The 27,169-nt window shown below is 55.8% G+C and overlaps 1 long non-coding RNA gene, 3 other non-coding genes and 2 pseudogenes across 7 annotated transcripts in view, besides 1 other annotated feature; 1 reads left to right on the plus strand and 5 right to left on the minus strand.

Moving 5' to 3' along the window:
- The window catches only part of PKD1P5-LOC105376752 (PKD1P5-LOC105376752 readthrough), a 43,821-nt pseudogene extending 31,031 nt beyond the window's left edge, over positions 1 to 12,790 (minus strand). Inside the window, exons 1-13 of the transcript NR_146331.1 lie at positions 12,449 to 12,790; positions 6,751 to 6,822; positions 6,558 to 6,629; positions 6,120 to 6,289; positions 5,236 to 5,907; positions 4,934 to 5,117; positions 4,278 to 4,498; positions 3,974 to 4,089; positions 3,442 to 3,568; positions 2,839 to 3,086; positions 1,610 to 2,365; positions 579 to 710; positions 224 to 399 (exon numbers count right to left, since the gene is read on the minus strand). The product of NR_146331.1 is annotated as a PKD1P5-LOC105376752 readthrough (transcript). The remainder of the gene's footprint in view (positions 1 to 223; positions 400 to 578; positions 711 to 1,609; positions 2,366 to 2,838; positions 3,087 to 3,441; positions 3,569 to 3,973; positions 4,090 to 4,277; positions 4,499 to 4,933; positions 5,118 to 5,235; positions 5,908 to 6,119; positions 6,290 to 6,557; positions 6,630 to 6,750; positions 6,823 to 12,448) is intronic.
- The window catches only part of PKD1P5 (polycystin 1, transient receptor potential channel interacting pseudogene 5), a 27,494-nt pseudogene extending 14,615 nt beyond the window's left edge, over positions 1 to 12,879 (minus strand).
- Positions 5,589 to 6,456: an enhancer, noted in NCBI's record as "H3K27ac-H3K4me1 hESC enhancer chr16:18488581-18489448 (GRCh37/hg19 assembly coordinates)". NCBI's record gives its function as "activates a minimal SCP1, AML or CMV promoter by ChIP-STARR-seq in primed H9 embryonic stem cells {active_cell/tissue: H9 hESC(primed)}" and the evidence as "EXISTENCE:reporter gene assay evidence [ECO:0000049][PMID:30033119]".
- LOC112268172 (uncharacterized) lies at positions 10,844 to 27,041 on the plus strand. 3 transcript variants are annotated; one of them, XR_002957898.2, is made up of 4 exons: positions 10,844 to 11,046; positions 18,965 to 19,184; positions 19,942 to 20,021; positions 26,742 to 27,035. It is a non-coding gene; the product is annotated as an uncharacterized LOC112268172 (long non-coding RNA). The 3 variants fall into 3 exon arrangements; XR_002957900.2 differs by lacking the exon at positions 18,965 to 19,184 and having other exon boundaries at positions 26,742 to 27,041; XR_002957899.2 differs by lacking the exon at positions 19,942 to 20,021.
- On the minus strand, positions 13,043 to 13,136 carry MIR3180-3 (microRNA 3180-3). Its single transcript, NR_036144.1, has one exon. It is a non-coding gene; the product is annotated as a microRNA 3180-3 (primary transcript).
- Positions 16,563 to 16,627, minus strand: MIR3670-3 (microRNA 3670-3). The gene has a single exon (NR_128712.1). It is a non-coding gene; the product is annotated as a microRNA 3670-3 (primary transcript).
- On the minus strand, positions 22,759 to 22,842 carry MIR3179-3 (microRNA 3179-3). The gene has a single exon (NR_036145.1). It is a non-coding gene; the product is annotated as a microRNA 3179-3 (primary transcript).
- Positions 27,042 to 27,169: the final 128 nt, after the last annotated feature.

Genomic DNA, 27,169 nt, shown 5'->3' on the forward strand with positions numbered 1-27,169 from the left:
CTCTGCAGTCACGCCCCGGGCCTCCATTCAGGGCCCACCCGGCTGTGCTGAGGCCTCTCCCGGCTCCCGTGCAGCCTCAGGGCTCCTGTGCACCCAGTACCTCCCAACAGATAGGGAAACCGAGGCTCAGAAAAGCAACCCCCTGATGTGGGGTCCCTCGGCTGAGGCTGGGGCCGGGACAAGAGCCTGGTGCCCACCCCAAACCGGCCCCCGAGTCACTCACAGGAAGGCCACCTCCACAGCCGAGTCCACCAGCACGCCCGCCGTCAGTGCCAGCGTGGCATTGGGGGACAGCACGGCCGGCACTGTGGAGACCCGCAGGCCCTGCATCCTGTTCATCCGCTCCACGGTGATGTTGTAGTTCACGGTGACGTTGCTCACGTGGTTGGAGGCCGTCAGCTGCAGGGATAGGCATCAGTGGGCCCAGGTGGCAGGTGAGAGGCCTGGCCCTGCTTAGCGTCCCTCCCTCCACTCACCCACAGCCATGGCAGCGTCCTCGGGCAGCATGAAGCAGAGGTGAAGGTGGAGCCCGCCCCGCCCCACCCCATCCCCTCCCCTCCCCACCCCCGCCCACCTACTGAGAGCTTGAAGACCGCCGCGCTCTGATAAATGACATTGAAGACCACGTTCTGGAAGGTCAGGGACTGCTTGTCGTTGATGGTCCACCGGAAGACCATGTCCGAGCCGGCCTCCACCACGGGGCTGTACCTCTGCGGGGGGACTGGTGTCAGCCTGGGCTCTGTGGAGGACTCTGCCCTTAGCCTGTCGCCTCCTGGACACACCTCCCGTCAGGCTGGAGAGTCCCACGCGGGGCACAGAGGAGAGGAGGTGGCCGGGGCTCTGCATGCCATGGGAGCCAAGCCCGGGCTGGGACACTGACTGTCCGGCTCTCCAGCCAGCCATGTAGTACTACTAATGCCTCAACCTCTCTGTGCCTCAGTTTCCCCATCTGTAAAGCAAACCTAGTACCAGCTACAAAGAGTCCACCTCTCTCTGAGTCTTCTCAGACCCTCCCGGGGCTCCTGCCCCAGCTCCTCAGCCAGAGAGCTCGGAGCAGTGAGGGGAGGCACACGGGCCTCACAGGGACAGCACCTACACTGGCTTACAGAACCCAGGACAGGCTGCACAGGTCACGCCATTTCTGATGGCCCCTCCCAAGGCCCCTGGTGAAGGGGCAGGTACCCGCAAGACGGAGACAGCCCTGTCCCCCATGTACCCAGCATGGTGGCACCGCGGGCAGCCCGCAGTTTCCCATCAGGGGTTCAGACTCCACCTCAAAAGCCACTCGCTTTAGCCAGGTGAGAACACAGCAGAGGGCGTGAGAGACTCACGGGGGCTCGTGTGAGGTCAGGGAGCGGAGTTTTAAATTCATTTCATGAAATGAGACGGTGGAATGAGTTAGCGGAGCCGCTGTCAGAGCCGTGACTTTCCAGGAATTTAAAGCCCACCAGGTAGCCTGAGGAGCCAGCCAGCAGGACCTGCCCGGGGCCGACGTCCCCAGTAACTGGGCTGCTGCCCTCACTGGGAAGCCAGGCCTCACGCCCTGTGTGAGCACCCTGTCTGCAGGCACCTGCCTGGGGGCTGGTGGTGGAGCCTCGGCCATACTCACCACTGGGACTCCCTGCAGTACACGGGCCTCGGGGCTGGGCGTGGCGCGGAGGCCACAGATGGGCTCCTCCGCCGTCACCCGCAGGCTGAGGTTGGCCCGGCTGGCGCTGTTTTCCACCACAACGTCCATCACGTGCTCCCCCTCACCGAGCCACGGCAGTGCTACCACTGAGAACAGGGTATCATTGGTCTCCCAGGGGCAGCCGGGCACGAAGGTGGCCACCAGGGCAGGGCAGGCATTCTCAAAGCGAGCGCTGACACTGCCCCCAGGCCAGCGAGCCGTGGCCGTGGCGCTGGCACCAGAGTCCACCTGGAGCACCGAGGCTGAGCCGTTGGTGGGCACGTAGAGGCGGCCGTCGCGGGGGGCAGGGTAGATGACCCGCAGCCCAGCCACTGGGGAGACCACGTCAAAGCTGCAGGACAGGTTGTGCCTGGACACGCCATTGCCCACCTCTGCCCGGACCTCATAGCGCCCAGGCAGCCGCAGCCCAGGGTTGGGCCTCAGGCCCAGCAGCACGGTGAGCTGTTCCGTGGCTGCAAGCAGCCGCAGGGCACAGGCAGGGCAGGCCCAAGTGCCCTCCAGCTGGGCTGGCAAGTGGGGCAGCCATGACGAGGCGTTGGCGGAGAGGTACGGGGCCTGGGGACCAGGGTGGCCGGGAGCCGGCGAGCAGTGCGGGAGGGCGCCAGGGCCAGCGTCGTGCTGCAAGCCAACGAGGTCACCAGGGAGCATGAGGACATCCTGGCCGTGGAGGGTGACCTGTGGAGAGGGAGGCAGGGCTGCATCACGTCCTCACGGTCATGGCCCGTGGACCCCTGCACGACGGATGAGGGTGGACACGCAGGGCTCCCCGCTTCGTCAGCCACACCTCAGGGAGCCTCCCCACAGTGCTCGTGACAAGGACAGGCAGGACAGTTGCAGACAGGGGGACACACGGGGAGAGGACACAGGCCAAGACCTGGCAGACAGGAAGGAGCGGCTGTGCTGGGAGAGAGGAAGAGGAGGCACAGCTCGTGCCAAGGGCCCAGGCGAGAGCTTCTCCCACTGGGAGAGGGGCAAGGGCACTGCAGAGGTCGGAGGTTGGAGGTCGGAGGTCGGAGGTCAGAGGTGGCAAGGACGTGGGAGGGGCCTGCAGGCTGGGTGTGTCTGCTGCGCAGACCCAGACCCTGGGCAGCAGACAGGAAGGTGGCCTGAGGAGATGCAGGGAACAGACCCAGGTCAGGGCCACACACCGAGTACTGCGCGGGGGGCCCCGCGGGAACGGAGAAGAGGAACTCTCTCCATAGCGCATAGGGGGCCCCGAGTAGCCCTGGCCCCTGACGTGCAGCCATTGGCGCAGGCCTGGGGTGGCAGGAGGCGTCCAGCGGCAAGCAGATGTTGGCTCCAGGGCACCAGCGTCCCCCTGGCATGCACGCGGGGGCCAGCTGGGTCCTGTTGTCCGGGGACCTGCTCTCAGGCTCGCTGCCGTTCTCCGGGGTCCCTGCGAGGAGGGGAGGGTGTTGGGGCCCTCATTCGCCCACGGGCCACCGTCAGAGATGCCCAACTGCCTGCACCAGCGAGCCTGGCCTTGCTGTGAGGACAGGTCTCCCCGCCCGGGCAGCACTCCCAGCCCAGTGCTGCGTCCCTGTCTCCGGCCAGCTGACTGACCCAGGCCGGTCCCCAGGCAGGCCCCACCCGATCCACCCCCAGGACACCTGGAATGAGCTGGTGTCTCTGGAACCCCTGCTCTGTCCACCTAAGACTGGGAACCACTCTGATGGCCACAGGACCAGCAGACGTGAGAGCTCAGAGAGGCCACCCCGAGTCCTGCGGCGCCCACCACCCCAGAGTCCCACCTGCTGTGCTGAGGAGCCGGTACACCTGCAGCCGCAGCTGGGCGGGCCGCCGGAGCTCCTGGGTCCCAAATTCGGCCGTGGTGAGGAAGGCTTCACGGCTCAGACGCAGGCCCGGGAATACCATGACCTGGTGGGCAGGGGGCCGCCTCAGCTCCACAGACCCCATCCCAGCCTGAAGCCCAGACTCCCCCCACCCGAACTTCCCAGGAAGAGGGGAGGGAAGGAGAGCGAGCCATCGGACCCCCACAGGCCTGGCTCCTGTCGCTCGAGAGGAAGACTCCGATGGAAACTGTCCATGGGGGGCAGGACCCCTGACCTGCCTTTCAGGAATAACTCACCCACACTCAGAGAAAAGGGGGTAATGTGAGTAAACGCTTTCCTCTCTGCACTCTGGATTTTCCCAACCATCTTCACTGGGCACAAGCAACATTAAGGCCCCCAAGTTTTTTGGGGAGACCCACAGTGGGCAGGGCAGGCGAGGCCTCCAGGGGCAGGCAGGAGGGCAGGTTTTAGAACGTGGGGGGCCGACTACCTCCACGGGCTCATGCGGGGCTGAGAGGCCGTCCTGCCGTGCCAGAGGCATCAGGGGTCCCTGCAGGTCCCCACTGGGCGCTCCCACGAGGAGGTTCTCGGCATCCTGCACTGGGCCTGGGGTGGCAAGTGCACAGTGAGGCGCCGGGCCAGGGCCCAGGACACCAGGACGAACAGACTGGGGACCGAGCCGCCCGAGAACCCCCCCACCAGCCCCTCCTCCTCAGCCCAGGCTCCACCGCGGGCGCTCGGCAGGCCCCTAACCACAGCCAGCGTCTCAGGCCCCTGCCTGGCCCCTCGCACACCTCCAGGCCGCAGCTCGCAGACGTAGCTGTGCGGCGCTGAGCACAGGTCGGTGTTACACCACCCGGTGGGCCCGAGCCGGACGCAGTGCTCGGCTGTGGCTGGGTGTGGCTCCCCGGGCAGCCAGTTCTGGCAGCTCTCCAGGCTGAAGGCCTCGCCCTGCGGGGCTGGGCCCACCTCCACCCCCTGCACAGTCGAGAAGCCGATCCACATGTCTAGGCTCCTGGGGGCGGGTGTGGGATGGCAGGGGGCTCAGGGCACTCCTCCATCCTCCCACCCTCACAGCAGCCCACTGGGAGCCCCGTCACTGTCCCCCTTTCCAGATGGGGAAACTGAGGCTCAGAGCCCGGAGAGCAGGGCCCACCAGCCCAGGCTCACAGCAGCACCCACCCACGAGGCCTGTGGGCACTGGCAGGGATCCCCGTGCAGGCCACCTCCCGTATGGCGTGCCCAGGAGTGTCCGGAGGCTGCCCCCAGCTCGTGTCCACCTCTGCATCTGCAGAGCTGACAGGAACGGCCCCACCGGCCGGCGCCACCTGCTCACCAGGGCCGGCCCAGCTCCCACCTCCCTCCTCCTGAGACTCCCCAGCCGCAGGCTCTGCCCCACTGCTTCAGAGATCTCCCAACCTATGGCCCCTCGGGGGGTGGGGGCAGGCACCTGGTGACCCGGGAGACCAGGAAGCGCTGCATGGCGGGACTGTCCACCATTGCCAGGGCGGCCCCGGCCCAGGCCCGACACTGCTCCTGCGCCTGCAGCCAGGCCGCCTTCTCCACCACCAGGCGGTAGCAGTGCCCGTTGCCAGAGAAGATCTCCGTGTCCGAGGGGCAGAGCGGGTGCACCGCTGGAGACCGGTGGGAACGAGGGTGTCAACGGTCAGTGTGGGCCCAAAACGGGGGTACCAGGCTCTGCCCCATCTGGATGGCCCTGGGGAGGAAGGGGAGTGGGCAGCAGACACTCACCTCGGGCCGGCTCCTCGCCCAGGGCCACGATGCTGTAGGCGGCCTCCAGGCCTGAACCACCGCGGTTCTGGATGCTGAGGTCGAGGCTCTCGTCACTCTGCACCGAGGACGGGCACACGAGCTCCAGGGCGGCAGGTGCCGCTTCCACCTGCACGTCTGTCCCCAGCAGGGCTGAGCCGGCCCCCAGGGCCAGCACGGCCATCACGTGATAGCGCCCAGGCAGCACATAGCGATGCGAGGCAGCCGGCCCAGCGGCATCCACCTCGGGGGAGCCGTCTCCGAAGTCCCAGCGTGTGGCAGTGACAGGGAGCGGGGCAGCGATGTGGAAGGCTGCTAGCTGGCCGGAGGCCAGGGGTCCGTGGGGCCCCACCAGGGTGGCCCCTGGGGAGGCAGGGAAGACGTGCTGGAGGAGGGTGGGGCCCCTACAGGTGGGGGCAGGAGGCGGCGGGGGGCCGGAGCAGAGGGACAGGCAGGCGAAGGAGGCACTGGAGGGCTGGGCTGACCCACACAGGCACCAGCCCTGCTCGGAGAGGGCTGCGAGGCCCTGGCCGGTGGAGAAGCAGAAGGCGCTGCAGGCCTCTGGCTGAAGCAGGCCTTCGTGGGCAGCTGAAAAGGACACTGCTGCCACGGTGCCTGAGCTGTTGTCAGGGAGGCAGGCGACATACTCCTCACCTAGAAGAGGCAGCCACTGGACCCCGGGTTCTGCTCCTCCTGGCTCCACCCCACACCCCCCCATCCGCCCGCCGCACTCACAGGCTCCCATGCTGTTCCCTTGGCCCGGAGGCCCCCCCCAGAGAGGCCTTCCTGAGCCCTGCCCAGTGTCTGCAGGGCCCAGGTCCCACCTGGCTGGGAAGGACAGAGCTGCCCCACCCACCGGCACTCACCACAGCCACTGTCCAGCAAGGGGATGCCAAGCAGAGGCTGGCCAGCCAGGGAGCCAGGCCCAGCACACGTGGCTGCCTCGGGCTGCACCACCCGCACCTGCTGCTCCTCCGCCCATCGCGGCAGCCACGCCAGGCCACAGTCACACTCAAACGGGTTCCCACTCAGGTTTCTGCGGGGCAGGGGCAGGTGTTGGGGACCAGGTCTGGTGGGAAGGGTCTATGCCAGCCCCCCACTGGCAACCAGGCCCTGGAGCCACCCTGACAGCACCGCCTCCCCTGCCCCAACCAAGCCGGCACTGGGGGGCTCCAAGCAGGTAGTGAACTGCCCCCAGGATCTGGTCTCAAGCCTGGAAGGGGACACGGACCAACTGGGAGGGCAGAAGGGATACTGGGGGCCTGGGGTCCAGCCAGGACCCCACCCAAAGAACCACAACTTACATTTCACTTAAATTAAATAAATTAGCAAATATTCCTTCTTCTAACGTAGAAATCTTGTTGTTGCTTATATCCCTGGAAGAGAGGGGGGATTCGGCAAAGCTGACGGAAGCCCCCACAGCTGAGCAGCAAGAGGCGGTGCCGCCAGCCCACCCGGAGTGAGCCCCGCATGCTGGCACGACTGGGGGACACTCACAGCTCTGCCAGCGCCGAGAGGTTCGCCAGGAGCCCAACGTCCAGCGCCCGGAGCAGGTTGTGGGAGACGTCTCTGAGGAGTGAGTGGCCGTGGGTCAGGGCCAGAGCCCTTAGTAGGCCAGAGGCCATCCCTGGGCCCATCCCACACATTTCCAGCATCCCCAAGCTAAGGCCTCCCACCCTTGAGCTCCCCACTCCCAGAGGTCAGGAGGGGCCTTTCTGATGGAAGACCCAAATGAACACTCATCTGGGGAAACCAAGCCAGGAGAGGCCTGGGGGCCTCAGCCCTCTGCACCCATCTCAGCCCTATGCCGAGTGCCACCTGGACCTGTCCACCCAGGGCCAGGAAGGGCACGGACCCCCAACCCATCCCACGCAGGGCCAAGGCCCCCCATCCCCTGTCCACAGTCCCCCACAGAGCCAAGGTCTCCCAACCCTGTCCACAGCCCCCACACAGACTCGAGGGGCCCCCATCTCCTGTTCTGAACCCAACAGGGTGGTCCCACTGTGGGACCACAACCAGGTATGACTGTGTGAGAAGCAGGCTCACTACCAGGCTACCAGGGAGCACAGGGGAGCAGGCGCCACCTTGAGGCATAAACCCAGAGAAACAAGACCTCCAAGACGGCCAGGCACTGGGGCACACGCCGGTAACACAGCACCGTGGGAGCTGAGACGGAAGGATCGCCTGAGCCCAGGATTTTGAAACCACCCTGGGCAACACAGTGAGACCCCGTATCTACAAAAAAATACACATTAGCCAGGCATGGCGGCATGCGCCTGGGGTCCCAAGTACTCGGGAGGTAGAGGAGAGAAAAATCACTTGAGCCCAGAGAGGTCAAGGCTACAGGGAGCTGAGATCGCATCACTGTACTCCAGCTGGGGTGAAACGGCGAGACTCTACCTCAAAAATAAATAAATACATACATAATTAATAAATAAAACATCAAAGACCAGCCGACCTAACTCCATCTAAAATACACAACTTCTACGCAAAATATAAATAAAATTAGAAAACAAACTACAATCTCAGAAAAGCACTAGCAACTTAGACGACATACTAAAGGCCAAAAATACCCTCCTGACACACAGCTAATAAAGAAAAAGTCAACTATTCCAGTTAAAAAGAAGAAAAGGAAACTGGCTGTGGTGGCTTATGCCTGTAATCCCAGTGCTTTGGGAAGGCCAGGAGTTTGAGACCAGGATGGACAGCATAGCAAGACCCCATCTCTACAAGGAAAAAAAGAATCAGCCAGGCATGGTGGTGTGGAGCTGTAGTTCCAACTACTCGGGGGGCTGAGGAGGAAGGATCGCTTGAGCCAGGGAGGTCGAGGCTGCAGTGAGCTATGATTGTGCCACTGCAGTCCAGCCTGGGCGACAGAGCAAGACCCAGTCTCGAAAGAAAAGAAAGAGAAAGCAAGAAAAGAAAGATGGCTGGGCACGGTGGCTCACTCCTGTAATCCCAGCACTTTGGGAGGCCAAGGTGGGTGGATCATGAGATCAAGAGATCAAGACCATCCTGGCCAACAGGGTGAAACCCCGTCTCTACTAAAAATGCAAAAATTAGCTGGGCGTGGTGGCGGGCACCAGTCCAGGCTACTCGGGAGGCTGAGGCAGGAGAATGGTGTGAACCCAGGAGGCGGAGCTTGCAGTGAGCCGAGATGGCACTGCTGCACTCCAGCCTGGGCAACAGAGTGAGACTCCATCTCAAATAATAATAAAAAATAAATAAATAAATAAATAAAAGACATCACTCACACCTGTAATCCCAGCACTTCGGGAGGCCGAGGCAAGCAGATCACCTAAGGCCAAGAGTTCAAGACCAGCCTGACCAACATGGTGAAACCCCATCTCTACTAAAAATATTTTTAAAAATTAGCTGGGCGTGGTGGCGCGCGCCTGTAATCCCAGCTACTCAGGAGGCTGAGGCAGGAGAATCGCTTGAACCCGGGAGGTGGAGGCTGCAGTGAGCCGAGATCACACCATTGTCCTCCAGCCTGGGTGACAGAGCCAGACTCCGTCTCAAACAAAACAAAACAAAAGACATCAGCTAGCTGGTCCAAGCACAGTGGTGTTCACAACGAATTGATCACAGCCAGGTAGAATTCTTCATTCTTTCTCCAGTTCCACTGCTTTGCTTGACCAGCCTTAAAGACACACATATACATTTTTGTCTGGGCGCGCTGGCTCACACCTGTAATCCCAACACTTTGGGAGGCCAAGGCAGGTGGATCACTTGAGGTCAGGAGTTTGAGACCAGCCTGACCAACGTGGAGAAACCCCGTCTCTCCTAAAAATACAAAATTAGCCAGGCATGGTGGCACACGCCTGTAATCCCAGCTACTGGAGAGGCTGAGGCAGGAGAATCGCTTGAACCCGGGAGGCGGAGGTTGCCGTGAGCTGAGATCGCGCCACTGCACTCCAGCCTGGGCAACAAGAGCGAAACTCTGTCTCAAAAAAAAAAAAAAAAAAGTATATATTTTTAAAAGACATTGGCCGGGTGCGGTGGCTCACGCCTGTAATCCCAGCACTTTGGGAGGCCGAGGTGGGCAGATCACGAGGTCAGGAGATCGAGACCATCCTGGCCAACACGGTAAAACCCCGTCTCTACTAAAAATACAAAAATTAGCTGGGCACGGTGGTGCATGCCTGTAAACCCAGCTACCAGGTACTCGGGAGGCTGAGGCAGGAGAATCACTTGAACCAGGGAGTCGGAGGTTGCGGCGAGCTGAGATCATGCCACTGCACTGCGGCCTGGAGACAAGAGCAAGACTCCGTCTCAAAAAAAAAAAAAAAAAAAAAAAAAAAGACATCAACTAATTGCAGTGTGTGGACCTTATTTGGCTCTTAATTCAAACTATTAAACCAAAAATGTGAACACACCAGGCCTTCGGTGGCATGAAGGAATTGTCTGTTGTGTTAGGTGGGTCTGCGGTATTGCGATGCCCTCCAAAATGCTTGCAGATAAAAGGGTGGCTGGAATTTGGTTCAAAACATGGGTCAGGGCTGGGCGTGGTGGCTCATGCCTGTAATCCCAGCACTTTGGGAGGCCGAGGCGGGCGGATCATCTGAGGTCAGGAGTTCAAGACCAGCCTGACCAATATGGAGAAACCCTGTCTCTACTAAAAATACAAAATTAGCCAGGCATGGTGGTGCACGCCTGTAATCCCAGCTACTCGGGAGGCTGAGGCAGGAAAAGCGCTTGAACCCAGGAGGCGGAGGTTGCCATGAGCCGAGATCGTGCCATTGCACTCCAGCCTTGGCAACAAGAGTGAACTCTGTCTCAAAAAAAAAAACAAAAAACACATGGGTCAGGAGGGGAAGGGTCGGGGCAGGGAGGGCAGGGCAGGCTCTGGGGTGGGGGGTCTGTGAGTCAGCCACGGCTCTGCCCACGTCTCCCCACGAAGCTTCGAGCCATGCAGAGCAGCACGTTTTGCAGTACGCCATCTTTTCCAAAAGCCACCACCTCTCGGCAGCATCCTTAACCCAAGGCAGGCTGTGGCCTCAGAAGCCCCGGCTGTCCTCCACCTGGAACTGGACACAGCTGTCCCTGCTGAGCTTCAGCAGCCAGGGAGCCACAAGTGGAGAGGCACCTGCGTGAGCCCCCCAGGAAGGCTACTGGTGACACCCAGACAGCAACGCTCCTGGACCCTTGAACACCTGCCAGCAGCTGTGATCTGTGTCCTTCACCTCTCCCAGCTTGACCCCTCTTCCCTGGGGAAAACCCAGCCGTCTCCCCGAGGAGGAGTTTGCAGGGTAGACAGCAAAATGGCTGGGCTGCCCCACAGCACAGAGGGTGGCCTGGGGGGCCAGCCAGGGCCTTCACATCCTTCCTAGGGCCCTAGTTTCCCATGGGTCCCCTCACCCCACCTTCCAGAACTCTCCCAGCGGCGGCCCCAGGTGTGTACAGAACAGCACCCACCTGCCCACGAGGTCACCCTGTGCCCTGTTGCACACTTGAGGGGCCTGGCATTCGGAATCTTGCCAGCTCAGGCTGGGACAGGCCACCAACCCCCAGGGTCCCCCTCCTCCAAACCCCAGGACCAGAGCCTAAGAGGACAACACAAGGCAGGGGCGGGGGTTCCACTGCTGTGCCAAGGGCCTGGAGAACACGGGCCTTGCTCTCCGCTCAGCAGCCACCAGCGCCCTTCTCTCCCGGACAGCTCCCGAGGGGCTGCTCTCATGGACACCATCAGGTGCTGGGAAGCAGGAACCACCAGGACCTGGACAGAGTCCCCAGTGACCGGCCTGGCAGACAGAGGAGCCCTCAGCTACAGCATCACAAACAACGGGTGGGGTAGGTCTGATGCAATTCTGTGGGTGCTGTTGCCAGGCAGGAGGAGGCCATCTCCACAGAGACAGCCGCGAGACACACGCGTCCGCAGTCAGGGAGCGCAGGAGCAATGTGGCCCCGAGGGGCACGGGCTCCATTGGTCCAGGAGAACCCATTCTTCTCCCACCCTCGAGACCACCCAGCAAAGCCCCAAGGACACACGGCTCCCCTAAGGAAGGGTGGCCACAGGCGGGAGTGACCCAGAAACGTTACAAAACCAAATGCCAGAACCCATCCAATGTTTAGAAAGCCTGGGGATGTGCCACGTCCCCCAGGGATCCAGCACGCACCCAAAGAGACACTGTCCCGGCGAGGAGCCTGGAGCCTGGGAAATACAAGGCATCAGACTGGTACCAAGACTCTCCCCAGCGCTGGGGACAACTGTCTGCTTATCTTAGTCCCCTGCGCCCTTTTCAATCCAACCCTGGGTCCTGGGCACCTCATAGTTCCAAACCCCTGCTATGCACATCCCGGCTGTGATGCCTGGGACAGGTCCTGTCCTGGCTGTGATGCCTGGGACAGGTCGTGTCACCTCTCCAAACCTGTTTCCTCATCTGTGAAATGCAAATCTCCACGGTCCCTATGCCTCGGATGGTCAGAGTCAGGATTCCGCATGACGACCCCCAACAGGAGCCTGGCACAGACCTGGCTCTGGGCAGCGTCTCCATAAAGGCCACCTGTTGTTTTTATCTCCCGAAAGCGAACATGACAAGGCTTTAACCCCCCACGGCAATCCGCCCTCACCCCTGTTCTCAGGATAGCCTTGGAACCCAATAGCAGAGCGCCTGAGGCCCTTCATGACCCCAGCCCACCCGCGAGCCCACCTCCCACCCTGCCCCTACCCCTCACACCTCCCGTGGCCAGCCTCCAGCCTCACGGTCTTTGCTCACACCGTTCACCCCCCTTCTTCTGGACCCACCTCATCGCCCCTTCCTAAGCATCAGCCCAATTCTTGCACATCCATCAAATCCTTGTCCAGACACCTCCTGGAACTCTTCCCTGCAGCCCCCTACAGCCATCCCCATCTCTCCGGGTACCCCGCAGCCCCAGGCCGAATCCCAATTCCTCTCCAATTAGCGACTGTTTGTCCTCCCAGCTGAGCGCGGCCTCCGCGCCCCGCCCCCGCTGGCGTCCGCAGAGCCCCCGGGTGGGACGTCTGTCTCCAGACCCGGGGTTTTTCGGCTCCCCGGGGCCGTGCCAACCGCGGCTCCAGGCGTTCCTTATTTAGCAGGGCCGCTGTGCCGCGCCGGAGCCTCGCCCTGGGAGCGTCCTGGCCCGCGTCCTGCTTCCCGTCCCGGGCCAGGGAACGCGCCCACGCCCGCCCGTCCCGCGGCCTCTCCCGGGTGCCGCTGGGCCCGCTACTCACAGCGCTGTGGCGTCCGCGGGGATGCGCAGCGCGGGACCGAGCGTCCGCAGCCCGCGGCCCGCGGCCCGAGCAGTTGACGCGGCAGGCGGCGCCGGGCGCTAGGCCGCAGAGGCAGGGGGGCTCGCAAGGCCCGCAGCCGCGCCCGGGGCCCCCCGCCAGCGCCCCGAGCCACAGGCCCAGGCCCAGGGCCAGCGCCAGGCGGGCGGGCGCGGCGGGCGGCATCGTTAGGGCAGCGCGCGCATGGCCCCGCCGTCCCCAGGCCCGCCCGCGCGCGGAGGCCGCGGCTCAGGCGGGGCCGGCGGACGGCATGGCGGGCGCGGGGCTGGATGGGGCTGCGGCCGCGACCTGCTGCTGAGCGACGCCCGCTCGGGGCTCGGGGCCAGGCCGCTCCGGGAGCTCGGCCGCCCGCTCGGACGTTGGCGCTGCAGTGCGGGCCCCGCCGCGGCTCCTCCTCCTCCTCCCCGCGCGGCGCAGGGCGGACGGGGCGAGGGGGGGCGGGGCGGGTGCAGGCTCCGCCCCCTTCGCCACAGCGCGACCGGGCCAGCGATGAGGGACTGGCATCCGGAGGCTTCACCCTCCGCTCCACAGGGTCGGCAGCAGGGCGGGGCCTCCGGAAGCTCCGCCCCACGCTTTCCCGGGGCGCATGCGACGTGGGGCGGAGCGTCTGGAAGCTCCGCCCGTCGCACTGTAGAGTCGGCCGAGGCGCACGAGGTATTTTTCACGCTCCGCCCCTCTGCAGGCTAAAGTGCGTGGGCGGGAAGCGGTGGGCAGGGTGCCATCTGGCTCCGCCCTTCTCCTGTGGTGTGGGCCAGGCGGCGGCTTCCTCCTCCTGCAGCAGCCACAGGCTCCACTCTGATCCTTCTCCCGCGGCATGGATCCTTCTCCCGCGGCGTGGATCCTTCTCCCGCAATCTCCGTGCGCGTCCCCAGTCAGTACCCGCAGCCTCCCGACGCACCCGCTGGCTCCAAGCCTCCCTACCCCAGGTTTCCTGGCTAAGAGAGAGACAGAGGGAGAGAGGGGGAAGAGAGAGAACAGGCAATGGGAGGTTGATGGTGAGAGCTTATTGAAAGACAAGAGGGAGGAAACCCACATCCTTCATTCCCCATCCATTCATTTATTGCCTTATTTATTCCATTGAATCTTCACAGCTCTAGAAAAAGTGTGCTACAATTATTCCCTTTATTAAATGAGGTCACTGAGGCACAGTTTAAGAAATTTGCCAGCAGGGCACAGTGGGTCACTCCGGTAATCCCAGAACTTTGAGAGGGGGAGGAAGGTGGATCCCTTGAGCCCAGGAGTTGGAGACCAGCCTGGCCAACATGGCGAGACCCCGTTTCTACAAAAATTAGCCAAAATTAGCCAAACTGGCTCACACTTGTAGTCCCAGGTACTCGAGAGGCTGAGGCCGGAGGAGCGTGTGAGCCCAGGAGGCAGTGGCTGCGCTGAGCCGTGATTGTGCCACTGCACTCCAGCCTGGGCAACAGAGTAAGACCCTGTCTCGAAAAAAAAAAAATGGAAAAAAGAAAAAAAGAACTGGCTGGGAGTGGTGGCTCATGCCTGTAATCCCAGCACTTTGGGAGGCCGAGGTGGGTGGATCACCTGAGGTCAGGAGTTTGAGACCAACCTGACCAACAAGGTGAAATCCCATTTCTACTAAAAATACAAAAATTAGCCAGGCGTGGTGGCAGGTGCCTGTAGTCCCAGCTACTAGGGAGGCTGAGACAGGAGAATAGCTTGAACCTGGGAGGCAGAGGTTGCAGTGAGCCGAGATTGCACCACTGCACTCCAGACTGGGCAATACAGTGAGACTCCGTCTCAAAAAAACAAAAAAAATCCTACCACATGTGCTCCACCAAGCTCTGTCTCCAAGGTGGCCTTGGAAGCCACATGGGGAAGGTGGCAGAGACTCTAGGAGCCTGAGCAGAAATCCAGATGATTATGAAAAATGCAGACCTACCCATCCTTATTCACCTGGGACCACCGTGAACTATATCATAAGAAATAAACCCCTATTGTACATACATGCACCATTCGAGTTGGGTCTATTTGTTACAGCAGTTTAGCCAACCCTAATCCACATATACAGTGTCAACAGTGGCTGAGATGACATGTTGCACAGACATGAGAGTCAGAAAGACCTGAGTTCAAGTCCCAGTGATGACATTTACTATCTGTGTGACCTTGAAAAGCTGCCTAACTACTCTCAGACCGTTTCCTCATCAGTTTGTTTTGAGAGTCAAATGAGAAAATTACTAAAAAGCCCTTAGCACTGCATCTAAGATGGGGAAGAGACAGTCAATGAATTCAAGTTTCCTGAAGCCCAGTTGCATCCCTGCCCTGCCCTGGGCTCTGAGAGACAGTTGCCGAAGCTAGTGTTAAAGTGAACTAAATATGGCCTGAGTGGGACTTCGTACTTCTATAGTTGAGTCCTTGTGGACAAATTGCAACCTAGCTTAATAGGTAGACAAGATTGAAAACCTAACTTAGGAGTATGCGCCTGTAACAATAGCTGAGTCTTGGCCAATCCCAGAGGCCGTAGTTCAACCGCTCATACGCTGCTGAGTGTTCAAACTGTACTCAAATAAGGCAAACGCCAACTTGTAACAATCCAGCCATTCTGTACTTCACTTCTGATTTCTGTACATCATTTCCCTTCTTTTGTCCATAAATCTTCTTCCACCACGTGGCTGCGCTGGAGTCTCTATGAATCTGCTGTGATTCTGGGGTCTGCCCAATTCGCGAATCATTCATTGCTCAATTAAACTACTTTAAATTTAATTCAGCTGAGATTTTCTTTTATCACTAATTTGAGCTGGTTTTCTAATGTTTGCAAATGGGAGGGCTGACTAATATAACACTGCTCCAAATATTAACGTCTTTCTCCCAACCCATCACCCAGGCAGAAGTGGTCCAGCCTGGGCAACCCTAGGAGGAGGCTAGCTCTCCTCTAGGAAGGCTTAGGATGCAGCCAGTGGGCAGTAACTGGCTCACTGTCCCCTGCAACTGAAATCAGAACTGGTTCCAGAAACCAAGTTGACCCCCAACCAGTCTTTCCCAAAATATGGCTCTATGCCCATCTCTGGTCAGGCTGGGCTGTTTTCCTGGACAGAGAAGTCTCAGACAAGCAGGCAGTGGTTAGTGGGCTGTGCCCAGGCTGAGAACATTTCCCAGAGAAGATGGCATCTCTGGCAGTCCCTTAAAGCCAGCAGAGGCCAAGTCATGTCCAAGAGGCCAAAAGGCCCAATATGGTGGAGACAGTATACAGTCCCCATGAATAAGGGATGCTGATGCCTTCCCTATGTACCAGGTAGTCACTGCCTGAGGGGCCCAGAGCAGCAGGAGGGCAGAGCCAGCCTGGGCAGGGGCACTGGGCCGGAAGTGGGGCTCACATCCTCAGCACACACACACACACACACACACACACACACACAAGCGAATGCACACACACACACACAAATGCACGCACACACAGATAGGTGCATTCAAACATCACATACACGTGTACATTCCTTGCAAAATCAACTTCTGCTGATAGCACAACAAACAATGGGGCCACAGTGTGGCATGGAGGAAACCCTGGAGTCTGATCTCATTTTTTTTTTTTTGCATCTGTCAGGGGATAAAGATATTTGATAAAAATCCTTGAGTCACATCCCCACCAGGTCCCTGCCTACCTGTAGACCCCATCAAGCCAGCTCCATGGCCCTTCAGATACCGCCTCACTGGGTCCCCAGGGATTGACCTCAGTCCTGGAAATGCAGAAATATCTGTATCTGTCACAGCTGAGACTGGCGGCCTTCCGCCGGCTTTCCTGGAGGCAGAGCTGGAGACAGGGACTTGGGTGGATGTGGTTTTTGTTTTTGTTTTGAAAGGGGCTTTCAGGAGAAGGGAGGTGAGGACTACAGGATGCAGAAGGGGACAGAGCAGAGTGAGAATGTGGTCCCTTAAAGTCCCGCCTTGACCTATCCCACGAGCAGCAGAGAGCACGCCACAGGATCGTCCCCACCGTGGGGCAGGGACCAGCCATTCACGTTGCTGTATCAGTTAGTCACTGGGCCATTACTGGGCATGGCATCCCATCCCAGGCAATGTGGCTCCCATCTGAGGGTGATTCTCTAGAGAAGGACAGCTGTGAGCTCTCAGCAGGTGAGGCTCCAAAAGCAGCTATACCAGTCTAGACCTCAGGGGAAGGGGGAATTCATCTCTAGGCAGGGATGATTTTCATAACATTGAACTCTTGACATGCAGGAGCACCGACCAATCAGAACAGACACGGTGACCAAACAGGCACAGCCACACCAGTGGATACCAGCGGAATGTCCACGCTGCCTCTGCGAAGGGACAGTCCCATGAGCCAAGCCCTAGACCAGCTGTTCTGGGAGCACTGCATCATTGCACTGAATTCTCACAACCGCCCCATAATGCTGGGACCATCCCCATTTTCTTGCCCAACAGCCTCCGTCTCATAGACACTAGGCGGCTCTCCCAGGGTCACACGGTCCAGTCAATAACGGGCAGAACTCGCACTCCGATCTGTCTGGCTCCAAAGCTGCTAAAAATTTTCTACTTGGCCTCACTGGCTTGACAAAGATAAAAAAGAAGGCAAGTCCTTCTTTCCAAGAGATGCTGAGGTCCCTCGGTGACACTAGGTCATGATTTTATCATGTTCAGAGGGCAATGAAAGGGACAGAAAACAAGCGATGTGTGATCTCCTGTCATGTCAAGAGACGCTGTTTTCAAAGAAACGTACGTTTCGCAGAATCAATACGCTGTGGGGCCTCAGAAAGCAGAGGCAGACACACGGCCCCAACCCGTGCACGTGGGAGCCCTGTTACAAGAGACGGCAGAAATTAAACTGAATCACCTGGAGCAAGTACATTGTAAATGTTCAATATTAATGACCCACCTCGGCCCCAAAGAAGAGAGCGTTGGGCTTTGTCCAGCTGTGTGCTCTGTTGTTAAAAGACCACCTTGTGGCCAGGCACGGTGGCTCACACCTGTAATCCCAGCGCTTTGGGAGGCCAAAGCAGGTGGATCACCTGCGGTCAGGAGTTCGAGACCAGCCTGGTCAACATAGTGAAACCCCGTCGCTACTAAAAATACAAAAATTTGCTGGATGTGGTGGCTGGCGCCTGTAATCCTAGCTACTCGGGAGGTTGAGGCAGGAGAATCGCTTGAACCTGGGAGGCGGAGGTTGCAGTGAGCCAAGATCACGCCATTGCACTCCAGCCTGGGCGACAAGACTGAAACTCCGTCTCAAAAACAAACAAACAAACAAACAACAACAGAAAACAATTTGTGCCTTAATGGGCATTCCTTTCCCTTCTTGCTAAGGGATGAGATGATGGCAGAACTTGTGGCCACTGTCCTGGAGGTTGACAAGCTTTTTCTGTAAAGTGCTAGATAATAAATATTTTGTGGGCCACACGATCTCTGGTGCAACTACTCAACACTGCCATTGTCATGCAAATGTAGCCATAGATGATAATAAATGAATGGGTGTGACTGTGTTCCAATAAAACTTTATTTATAAAACAGACAGCTGGCCAGAGTTGGGCAATGGGCAGTAGTTTGCCCCCCACTCCCCGCCCATCCGTCCTATTCCTTGGCTTTTTTGGGTACATCAAGGAGTGCAGTCTGGATGCTGGGCTATTTTATGGCCACTGGGCATAACCTTAACCTGGGCCTTTTGTCTGTTAACCTGGGTCAGTGGCTACGGTGAAGGTCGGGCAACCAAGGTTTAGATGGCTCAGTACACATTCACGCCCACAAACCAAACCAGGAAAAAGATGTGCTAAGTTGAGCATATGACACTGTTGGTACTCAAATGGTTTGTTTTTTTTTTTAAATAAATGTTTAAGTAAATTTTTTATTTTAGAACAGTTTTAGAAAAATGGTGAAAGCAGTACAGAGAGTTTCCATGTACCCCATAGCTTGATGCATTATGAACTAAAGTCCATACTTTTTTTAGGGGGGTGGGGACAGGGTCTTGCTCGTCACCTAGGCTGGAGTGTGGTGGTGTGATCATAGTTCATGGCAGCCTCAACCCTCCACCTCCCCTGGCTCAAGCGATCCTCCATCTCAGCCTCCCAAGTAGCTGGAAATACAGGTGCCTGCTACCATCCCCAGAGAATTTGTTTTTGTTTGTTTGTTTGTTGTTTGTTTGTTGAGACAGGGTCTCACTCTCATTGCCCATGCTGGTATACAGTGGCACAATCACGGGTCACTTGCAGCCTTGACTTCCCGGACTCAAGTGATCCTCCCATCTCAGCCTCCCGAGTAGCTAGGACTACAGGTGCACACCACAAGCCTGGCTAATTTTTTGTATTTTTTGTAGAGATGGGGTTTCGCCATGTCGCCCAGGCTGGTCTTGAACTCCTGGGCTCAACCCATCCGCCGGCCTCGGCCTCACAAAGTGCTAGGGTTACAGGCGCGAGCCACCGTGCCTGGCCACCTAAAGTCCATAGTTGATTCTGATTGCCTTAGTTTTTGCTTAATGTCCTTTTTCTGTTCCAGGATACCACATGGAGCATTTTGAGGAGTGCTGGCCAGGTATTTTGTAGAATGTTCCTCAACTGGGATTTGGCAGATGCTTCTCATCCTTAGTCTTGGCTTGTGTGTGTTTTGAGGAGGAGGACCACAGAGCTTAAGAATCATTCTCAGCACTCTGTATCAGGCACGCATTCTCTCAAGATGACTTGCCGCTATTGAAGTTGACTTTGATCACCTGGCTGAGGTAGTCTGTCCGTGTTCTCCACTGTAAAGTTACTCTCTCCTCTCTTTTCACACTGTACTCTTTGGAAGAGAGTCACTATGCACAGCCCACACTTAGGATGTGGGAAGTCCGCTCCACCTCCTTGACGATGGAATAGCTATATAAATTACCTGGGGCCGGGCACGGTGGCTCACACCTGTCATCCCAGCACTTGAATGGGAGGCCGAGGAGGGTGATCACTTGAGGTCAGGAGTTTGAGACCAACCTGGTCAACATGGTGAAACCCCGCCTCTACTAAAAATACAAAAAATTAGCCGAGTGTGGCAGCGCATGCCTGTGATCCCAGCTACTCGGGAGGCTGAGGCACAAGAATCGCTTGAACCTGGGAGGTGGAGGTTGCAGTAAGCCAAGATTACATCACTGCACTCCAACCTGGGCAACAGAGCAAGACCCTGTGTAAAAAAAAAAAATTAAATAAAAATAAATAAATAATCTGGAATTCTTCTGCCTGGGAGATTTGTCTCTTCTCTCTTATCTGATCATTTATAGCAGTATGGAATCATGGGTATTTATTCTTTGAATTCTAATCCAATAGTACTTTTTTGGGGCTCAAATTGTTCTGGCTTTGACCCCTGGGAGCTTTTCCACTGGCTCCTGTGTCCCTCTGAGATGCCCCATCACTGCAGCAGTTTCATTTTGTTTCATTTAGCGCCTCCTCACCCTGTGACCCTACAAGATGCTTCAGGTTCTTCTTATCTATTTCCTCCCTCGGTCCTAGGATCGACATTTGTTCAAGAAGCCTGGTTCCTTTTACTGGAGAATGGTGTTTATTGGAGAACAGAGACCTGGGCACCAGAGGTTTGTTGCTACTGGGGTATCCTTGCTTCTAGGCTCTCTTCGCTGACAGCCAGGATTAGTAATGTGTGTCTTACTAATTTGTGTATATGCACATATCCATAAATATTTCTCTATGTAGCCATCTGTATCTATATTGAGCTAAACATGTGTTCATACTGATGCCTGCCACTCTAATCCACTGCCACATGGATCACTCTAGCCTTGCCTCCTTTGCCGACCTGTAAACCTCCCGCCCCCCACCCCATCTATTACTTAATGAATTTCAGTAAGCATGTGAGGTGGGTGGTTATGGAAACCATTTTTGACCTATATATAAGATGGCAGTTTCGTCTGATTTCTCCTAAATAGAAGACGAGTGTGAAATGGTAACATGGTGTCCGTAGGAGTCATATGGATGGACCATGGCCAACCATATTATTAAGGAATATTCATGCATTCATCCATCCATCCATCCATCCATCCATCCATCCATCCATTCATTCACCAGTGAATGAGTAAAGCATTAGGTATTCACCACACTGTCCTCTCCTGGACTTCCCCCTACCTCACGGGCCACTTCCTCTCTGTCTCTTGGGCAGGGCCCTCCTCGCCCATCCTCTGAAGGTTGCACTGTCCCAGGGCTTGGCCCCCAGCCCTCTCCTTTTCTCAGTCTTCATAAGGATACCTATTATTCAATCCCGTGGCCTCATCTGTCATCCAAAAACACTCCCAGCTCACCACGTCTCATCTCCAGCCGTGATTTCTCACCCAGGCTGCAGACTCGGGTGTCTGATAAGCATCTCAAACTCACGATGGCCAAAACAGAAGTCTCAATTTACCTACACATTTCAGTGGTTCAGCTAGAAACAAACGATTCACTTATCGTTGATTCCTCCCTTCCCTCACCTCCTGTATTAAATACATCAGCAAGACCTTTCTGCTCTATCTCTGAAGCATAGCCCCAAGCTCACCACTTCCTGCCACTGTTACTTCCATCACCCCAATCCAAGCCATTGCTGTCTTTTGCCTAAACCAACACAACGTCCTCTTTGCTTCTCTCCCTAAATTCATTCTTGCTTCCCAATAATCCAATCTCCTCAAAATTTAAAGAAGCAATTGTTTAAAAACATACATCAGATCACTCCCCTTTCCCTACTTAAACCCTCCAATGCCTTCTGTTGCCATTAGAATAAAATCTAAACTCCTTTCCAGGGCACCCACATGACCCGGTCCCTGCCATCGTTCTCATCTCTTCCTCTCAATCACTTGACTCTGGCCACCCTGGCCTCTTTGCTATTCCTGAAACTCAGGGAGCTCATTTCCTCCTGGGGGCCTTTGCAATTATGGTCCCCTCTGCCTGGGCAGCTCTTCCCCCAGATCTTTGCATAACTGGCCCTTCCCCTCCTCAGGTCTCAGCTCAGATGCTGCCTCCTCAGAGAGACCTTCCATGATACCAATCATCCTCTGTCACATTGCCTTGTTCTGCTTCTTTTCTTCGTAACGCCTGGCATTATCCAACAACTTCTAATGTGTGTGTTTACCTTTCGTCCTCCATCAGCACTGTGCTCCTAAGAGCTGAGGCTCGGTCTCTCTCACACCACTAAACCCCCAGTATGCCAAGCAGCACCCAGCACAGGGGAGATGCTCAGTTAATACTTGTTGAATGAATTAATGATGCTCCCCCTAAAACTAAACTTTACAAAGCACCCACTAGACAACAGGTTAGAAAACATTTTCTAGGCCAGGCGCAGTGGCTCACACCTGTAATCCCAGCACTTTGGGAGGCTGAGGCAGGCAGATCATCTGAGGTCGGGGTTTGAGACCAGCCTGGCCAACATGGTAAAGCCCTGTTTCTACTAAAAATGCAAAAATTAGCCAGGCTTGGTGGCAGGCGCCTATAATCCCAGCTACTAGGGAGGCTGAGGCACGATAATCATTTGAACCCAAGAGGCGGAGGTTGCAGTGAGCTGAGATCACACCACTGCACTCCAGCCTGGGTGACAGAGAAAGACCCCATCTCAAAAACAACAACAACAACAACAAAATGTCTTCTGTAAAGACCCAGATAGCAAGTATTTTAGGCTTTTTAGGCTACCTGGTCTTTGCCACAACTACTTACATCTGGCACTGTCAGGCAAAAGCAGCCATAATCTGCAAATGAATGGGCATGGCTGTGTGCTCATAACACTTTATTTATAAAACAAGAACAGTGGGCCATAGTTTGCTAACCCCTGCACTAGCCCAGTCTAAGTCTTGAATATCATCTGTGTAATTAATTCACAGTGAGGAGTTCTCCACTGTAATAATTACTCATTCCATGAATGCATGCCACTCAGGTGAGGCGTTCTTGAAACTCTGAGAGGCAAGAAGCAAAATGTTCTTTCTCCATACCCAGGCACACTCCAGTCTGTGAAAAGGAAGCAAGAGAGGCAGGCTGCAAGTTTGATCACTGGGTGGCTGCTAGCCACCTCTCCCCCTCAGCTCCAAGAGCAGAAACAGGATGAAAACGCAGCAGCTGCCGGCTTCTGTCCTCTTGCCAGCTGCCTCTCTTGCAAGACTAGACAGGGAGGGGCAGCCGCCAGTCTCCGGAGGCACAGACTGCACAGAATTGAGGATCACTTGTTCCAATGCATTCATCTTATCTTACAAAATCTTCAAATTCCAAAAAGCACACGTAAGAAGGGCTGCTGTTTCATTCACACAGTGAAATATTGTGCATCTGAAAGAATATGTAGATGGGTGGCATCTTCAACAACCCCAGGATCACAGACGTTTAAATTTCACCCCTTCTACTGCTGTAAGGCACAGCAGAAGGAGTGTAATTTAAACGTCTGTGATCCTGGCTGGGCGTGGTGACTCTTGCCTGTAATCCCAACACTTAGGGAGCCCAAGGTGGGAGGATTGCTTGAGCTCAGGAGTTCAAGACCAGCCTGGGCAACCTAGTGAGAGCTCATCTCTACAAAGATTTTTTTTAAAAAAATTAGCCAGGTGTGGTGGTGCACTCCTGTAGTCCCAGCTACTCAGCAGGCTGAGGCACGATGATCCCTTGACCCTGGGAGATCAAGGCTGCAGTGAGCTGTGATGGTGCCATTGTACTCCAGCCTGGGGAACAGAACAAGAACCCATCTAAAAAAAAAAAAAGAAAGAAAAGTTCATATTCCAACCAAGATCTCACCATTGCATCATCAAGCATAAACACCTGCCCCCACTGAAAAAGTACAGAGGAAGGCAGTCATATAATATCTTCCCTCCTGACCTCACCAAGTTCCAGGGCAGGAAGAGTCTCGCCACCCCAGCACACAGTAGGCCCACTGGAAAATGAGTGCTCCCTTCTCTAGGCATTTCATTGTCATGGTCATAAAGTCAGGTTCATTTTTCTAATGAAAGAGAAAGCCAAAAATGGAGGCTGATTTTTTTCTTTTTTCTTTTTTTTTTTTTTTAGTCTCACTCTGTCGCCAGGCTAGAGTGCAATGGTGCGATCTCGGCTCACTGCAACCTCCGACTCCCTGGATCAAGTGATTCTCCTGTCAGCCTATCGAGTGGCTGGGACTACAGGCGCCCACCACCACACCTAGCTAATTTTTGTAGTTTTAGTAGAGACGGGGTTTCACCATATTGGCCAGGATGGTCTCGATCTCTTGACCTCATGATCTGCCCATCTCAACCTCCCAAAGTGCTGGGATTACAGGCATGAGCCACCACACCGGGCCTGGAGGGTGATTTTGACCAGGCCTTCTCAAGTTTTGGAAGGAAGTGGAGCTGACTTCTCTTCTGTTGCTTTTGCCCACCCAGGATCACTTATTCCTCTGGGTAATACAGCACCCCAGGCACAGGGGCCGCCTGTCACATGAGCGTGGGCATGGCTCATGTGCGGCCAGGCCCCAGTGATTCTGCAAAGGTTGCCCATAAGTCCTTCCCCCGCCCCAGGACTGGCATATTGATGTGGTGGGATGGAAGCTGTCCTTCTGCTGGGTCTGCAGATGGGGGCAATGTAAAGCCTGACATTGCCGGATGATGTCAGAAGCGGAACCCATAGGCAAAAGCCAGCTTTCCAGCACTCCACTCTCAGTTTCCTGCCATCTCCACTTCTGTGGATGTGTGCCCGGCATCTGCCTCTGCCCCTGCCTCTGAGAGCAGTGACTGAGCAAACAGTCCTGGACCTGGTTGAAAGGATGGGCCTGTCTGTTTCTAGCAGAGTGGTCTTTCAGAAAGCTGATTCCTGAAAGTTGGCATCAAGGGAAGCAGAGCCAGGAGGTGGAAATTGAGACTGGGTCCCGCTATGCATGAAGCCAGAGACTCTTGGATTTCTCCGTTACTTGACCAGAGGAATGCCCCATTTTGCTCAAGCTAGTTGGAGTTGGATTTCTGTTACTTGAAACCAAGAGAGCCTTAACTAATACACAACTAGAAATGCATCCATGGTCACTGCCCATTCATGTGACAGACATTTATTGAGCACTATTCCAGTTACCTAATGTTGCATGAGTTACCCCAAAACTTAGAGGCTTAATTCAGTCGTATAAGATATTCACAGATCCCGTGGGTCAAGAATTTGGGAAGACACTGTAGGTTGAACTTTGTTCTCTGCTTTGTCTTTCTTGGAAAGAGAGGACACAGCTTGAAGTCATTACTGATTTGGGACTGTATGTAATGCATATCTGTGCTTCATTGTCACTGTGTTTTTAAGTTTTCTAAACTTAAAACAGCTCATTTTCGGGGGACATAAAGAACCTGGGAAGAGCTCAGCTGGGCAGCACTGACCTGGGGTCTCTTGAGTGGTGGAAGTCAGATGTCATCTGCAGTTGCACTCACCAGAAGGCTTGACCGGGGCGGGGAAATTCGCTTCCAAGCTGGCTCACTCACGTGGTGGCAAGCTGTACATGCTGGGGGCCAGGGGCCTCACCCCTCCCCACGAGGCTGCCTGAGCACCCTCACGCAAGGCAGTTGGCTTCCCGAGAGCCAAAGTGCAATGCCTGTTACGACCTAGCCCGAGAAGTCACACATCATCACTCACTTCCACCACTTCCCACTGGTCGCACAGAGCCAGCCTGATTCAGTGTGGGAGGGGACCACACACAAAGGCAGTGTGCATCCCTGGGGGCCATCCTGAGGCTGGCTGTGTACCACAAACACCCGCCACATGCCAGGGACTGGACACACAGCCTTTGACCCCCACTGAACATCAGCCTAAACAGAAGGCAACCAAGCAAACCTTATCCCCCAAACTCTTTCCAACTCCTCCCTTAGGACGGCCCCTGCTTTTAAGTAAAGGGAATCGTGCCGAATAATTGTTCCTATTAAGGAACTAGATCTCAGGGTTTGGTCATGCAGCTCTTTGGTTACAGAAACAACGCTGATGAAATAATCGAAGGTCCTCCACCATTCTCACCCCCAGCCATGACCCCGTCCACTGCACACAGTGCTCCACGTCACTGTGCCTTTCCTAACTTTACTACAGCTTATACCTGCCTCTCCTGTACAACATCCACGTGACATCCATCTCTAAACCTCTGAGTCATCCCTAGACAAGCTGGCATGTGACTACATCATCTCATTTCATACATCAAGGGCAGGAAAACATGGTGGTTAAGAACTCTTGGACCTGGGTTCAAACCCCTGCTCTGCCACTTGACAGCTGCAAGATTGTTCAGCCTCAGTTTCTTTCTCTGAAAAATGGGGCTGGAAGCATACCTACTTCATGAACTCATGAAGCATCCACATGCATGCAAGGGCACGGCACAGCGCCCGGCACACAGTAGCTCAAGAAAGGCTGGTTGTGCCTGCTGGTGTGCTTGATCCAGAGAGGCAATCACTCATTTGCTTTTTCCTTATTTCCTGAATCTTTGTTTCTCACATTTAGGCCATTAGAGTTAAGCAGAAGGACTGCCTCTTCCTCCAGCCATCTCACCAGTCCTTCCACATACACATGCACAAACACACACACACACACACAAACACACACACACACACGTTCTCATGCTACCTTCGGCCCTTCCCATCTCCTGTAACCCCAGAAAAGAAGACCGAGTTGAAGCCGTTGCCTTAGAATGGCACTGCCCTGGCCAGGTGTGGTGACTCATGCCTATAATCTCAGCACTTTGGGAGGTTGAGGCAGAAGGATCACTTAAGGCCAAGAGTTCAAGACCAGCCTGGTCAACATAGCCGAGACCCTGTCTCTACAGAAAAATCAAATCAAATAAAAAGCTTTTAATTAAAAAAGAATGGCACCGTCCTAAAGCTCCTGAGGTGTCCTCATCAAGGATTTATGGTTGTTTTTACGGCCACTTTAATAGGCAGAAATGTGCACAGAGCAGAGTTCCCCAAGAATCTGCCATCTTAGACCATTTTGTTTTTTAAATACCTCAGCAAACAAGTCTGTCTCATATGACTTTTGTCCCATTCCAAGTCTAATAACAGCCCGGGTGCGGTGGCTCACGCCTGTAATCCCAGCACTTTGGGAGGCCAAGGTTGATGAATCACCTGAGGTAGGGAGTTCAAGACCAGCCTGGACAACATGGTGAAACCCCGTATCTACTAAAAATACAAAAAATTAGGCGAGCGTGGTGGTGGGCACCTGTAATCCCAGCTACTCGGGAGGCTGAGGCAGGAAATCGCTTGAAACCGGGAGGCAGAGGTTGCAGTGAGCCGAGATCACGCCACTGCACTCCAGCCTGGGCCACAAGAGCGAAACTCAAAAAAAAAAAAAAAGAATCTAATAACATTAATGTTTACTTCTCACAGGAGGATCAGAGGACTTCTGTCCTGAGATTGCCAGAAAAATGATGAACAGAAAATTATACACAACCGAACAGGCCCAACTTTCAAATGGACTGAGAATGACCCACACAAGTTCCACCGAGGCCAAGGGTGACCTGCAGCCAGCGACAGGGAAAGACTGCCACTTACTGGCGGCCTCCGGAACTGGAAGGAGTGTACTGACAATTGTATCTTTCGCAAGCTCTTAACCTTTATACCGTCAATAAAAACCCCATTAACATTTAAAAGGGATGTTTCTGGGTGTCCACTTGGAATAAGAGTTGGAAAACACTCCAAGAAATGGATCCTGTATTAATATCACATCTGTCCCAGATCTCCAACACTGTTCACTTTCCTTCCACGGTGCCAACACCAAGCTAGCTGATAGGTGGGAACAGGGCAGCTCTGCGGTT

The sequence above is a fragment of the Homo sapiens genome, chromosome 16 (assembly GCF_000001405.40).
Source record: "Homo sapiens chromosome 16, GRCh38.p14 Primary Assembly".
NCBI lineage: Eukaryota > Metazoa > Chordata > Mammalia > Primates > Hominidae > Homo > Homo sapiens.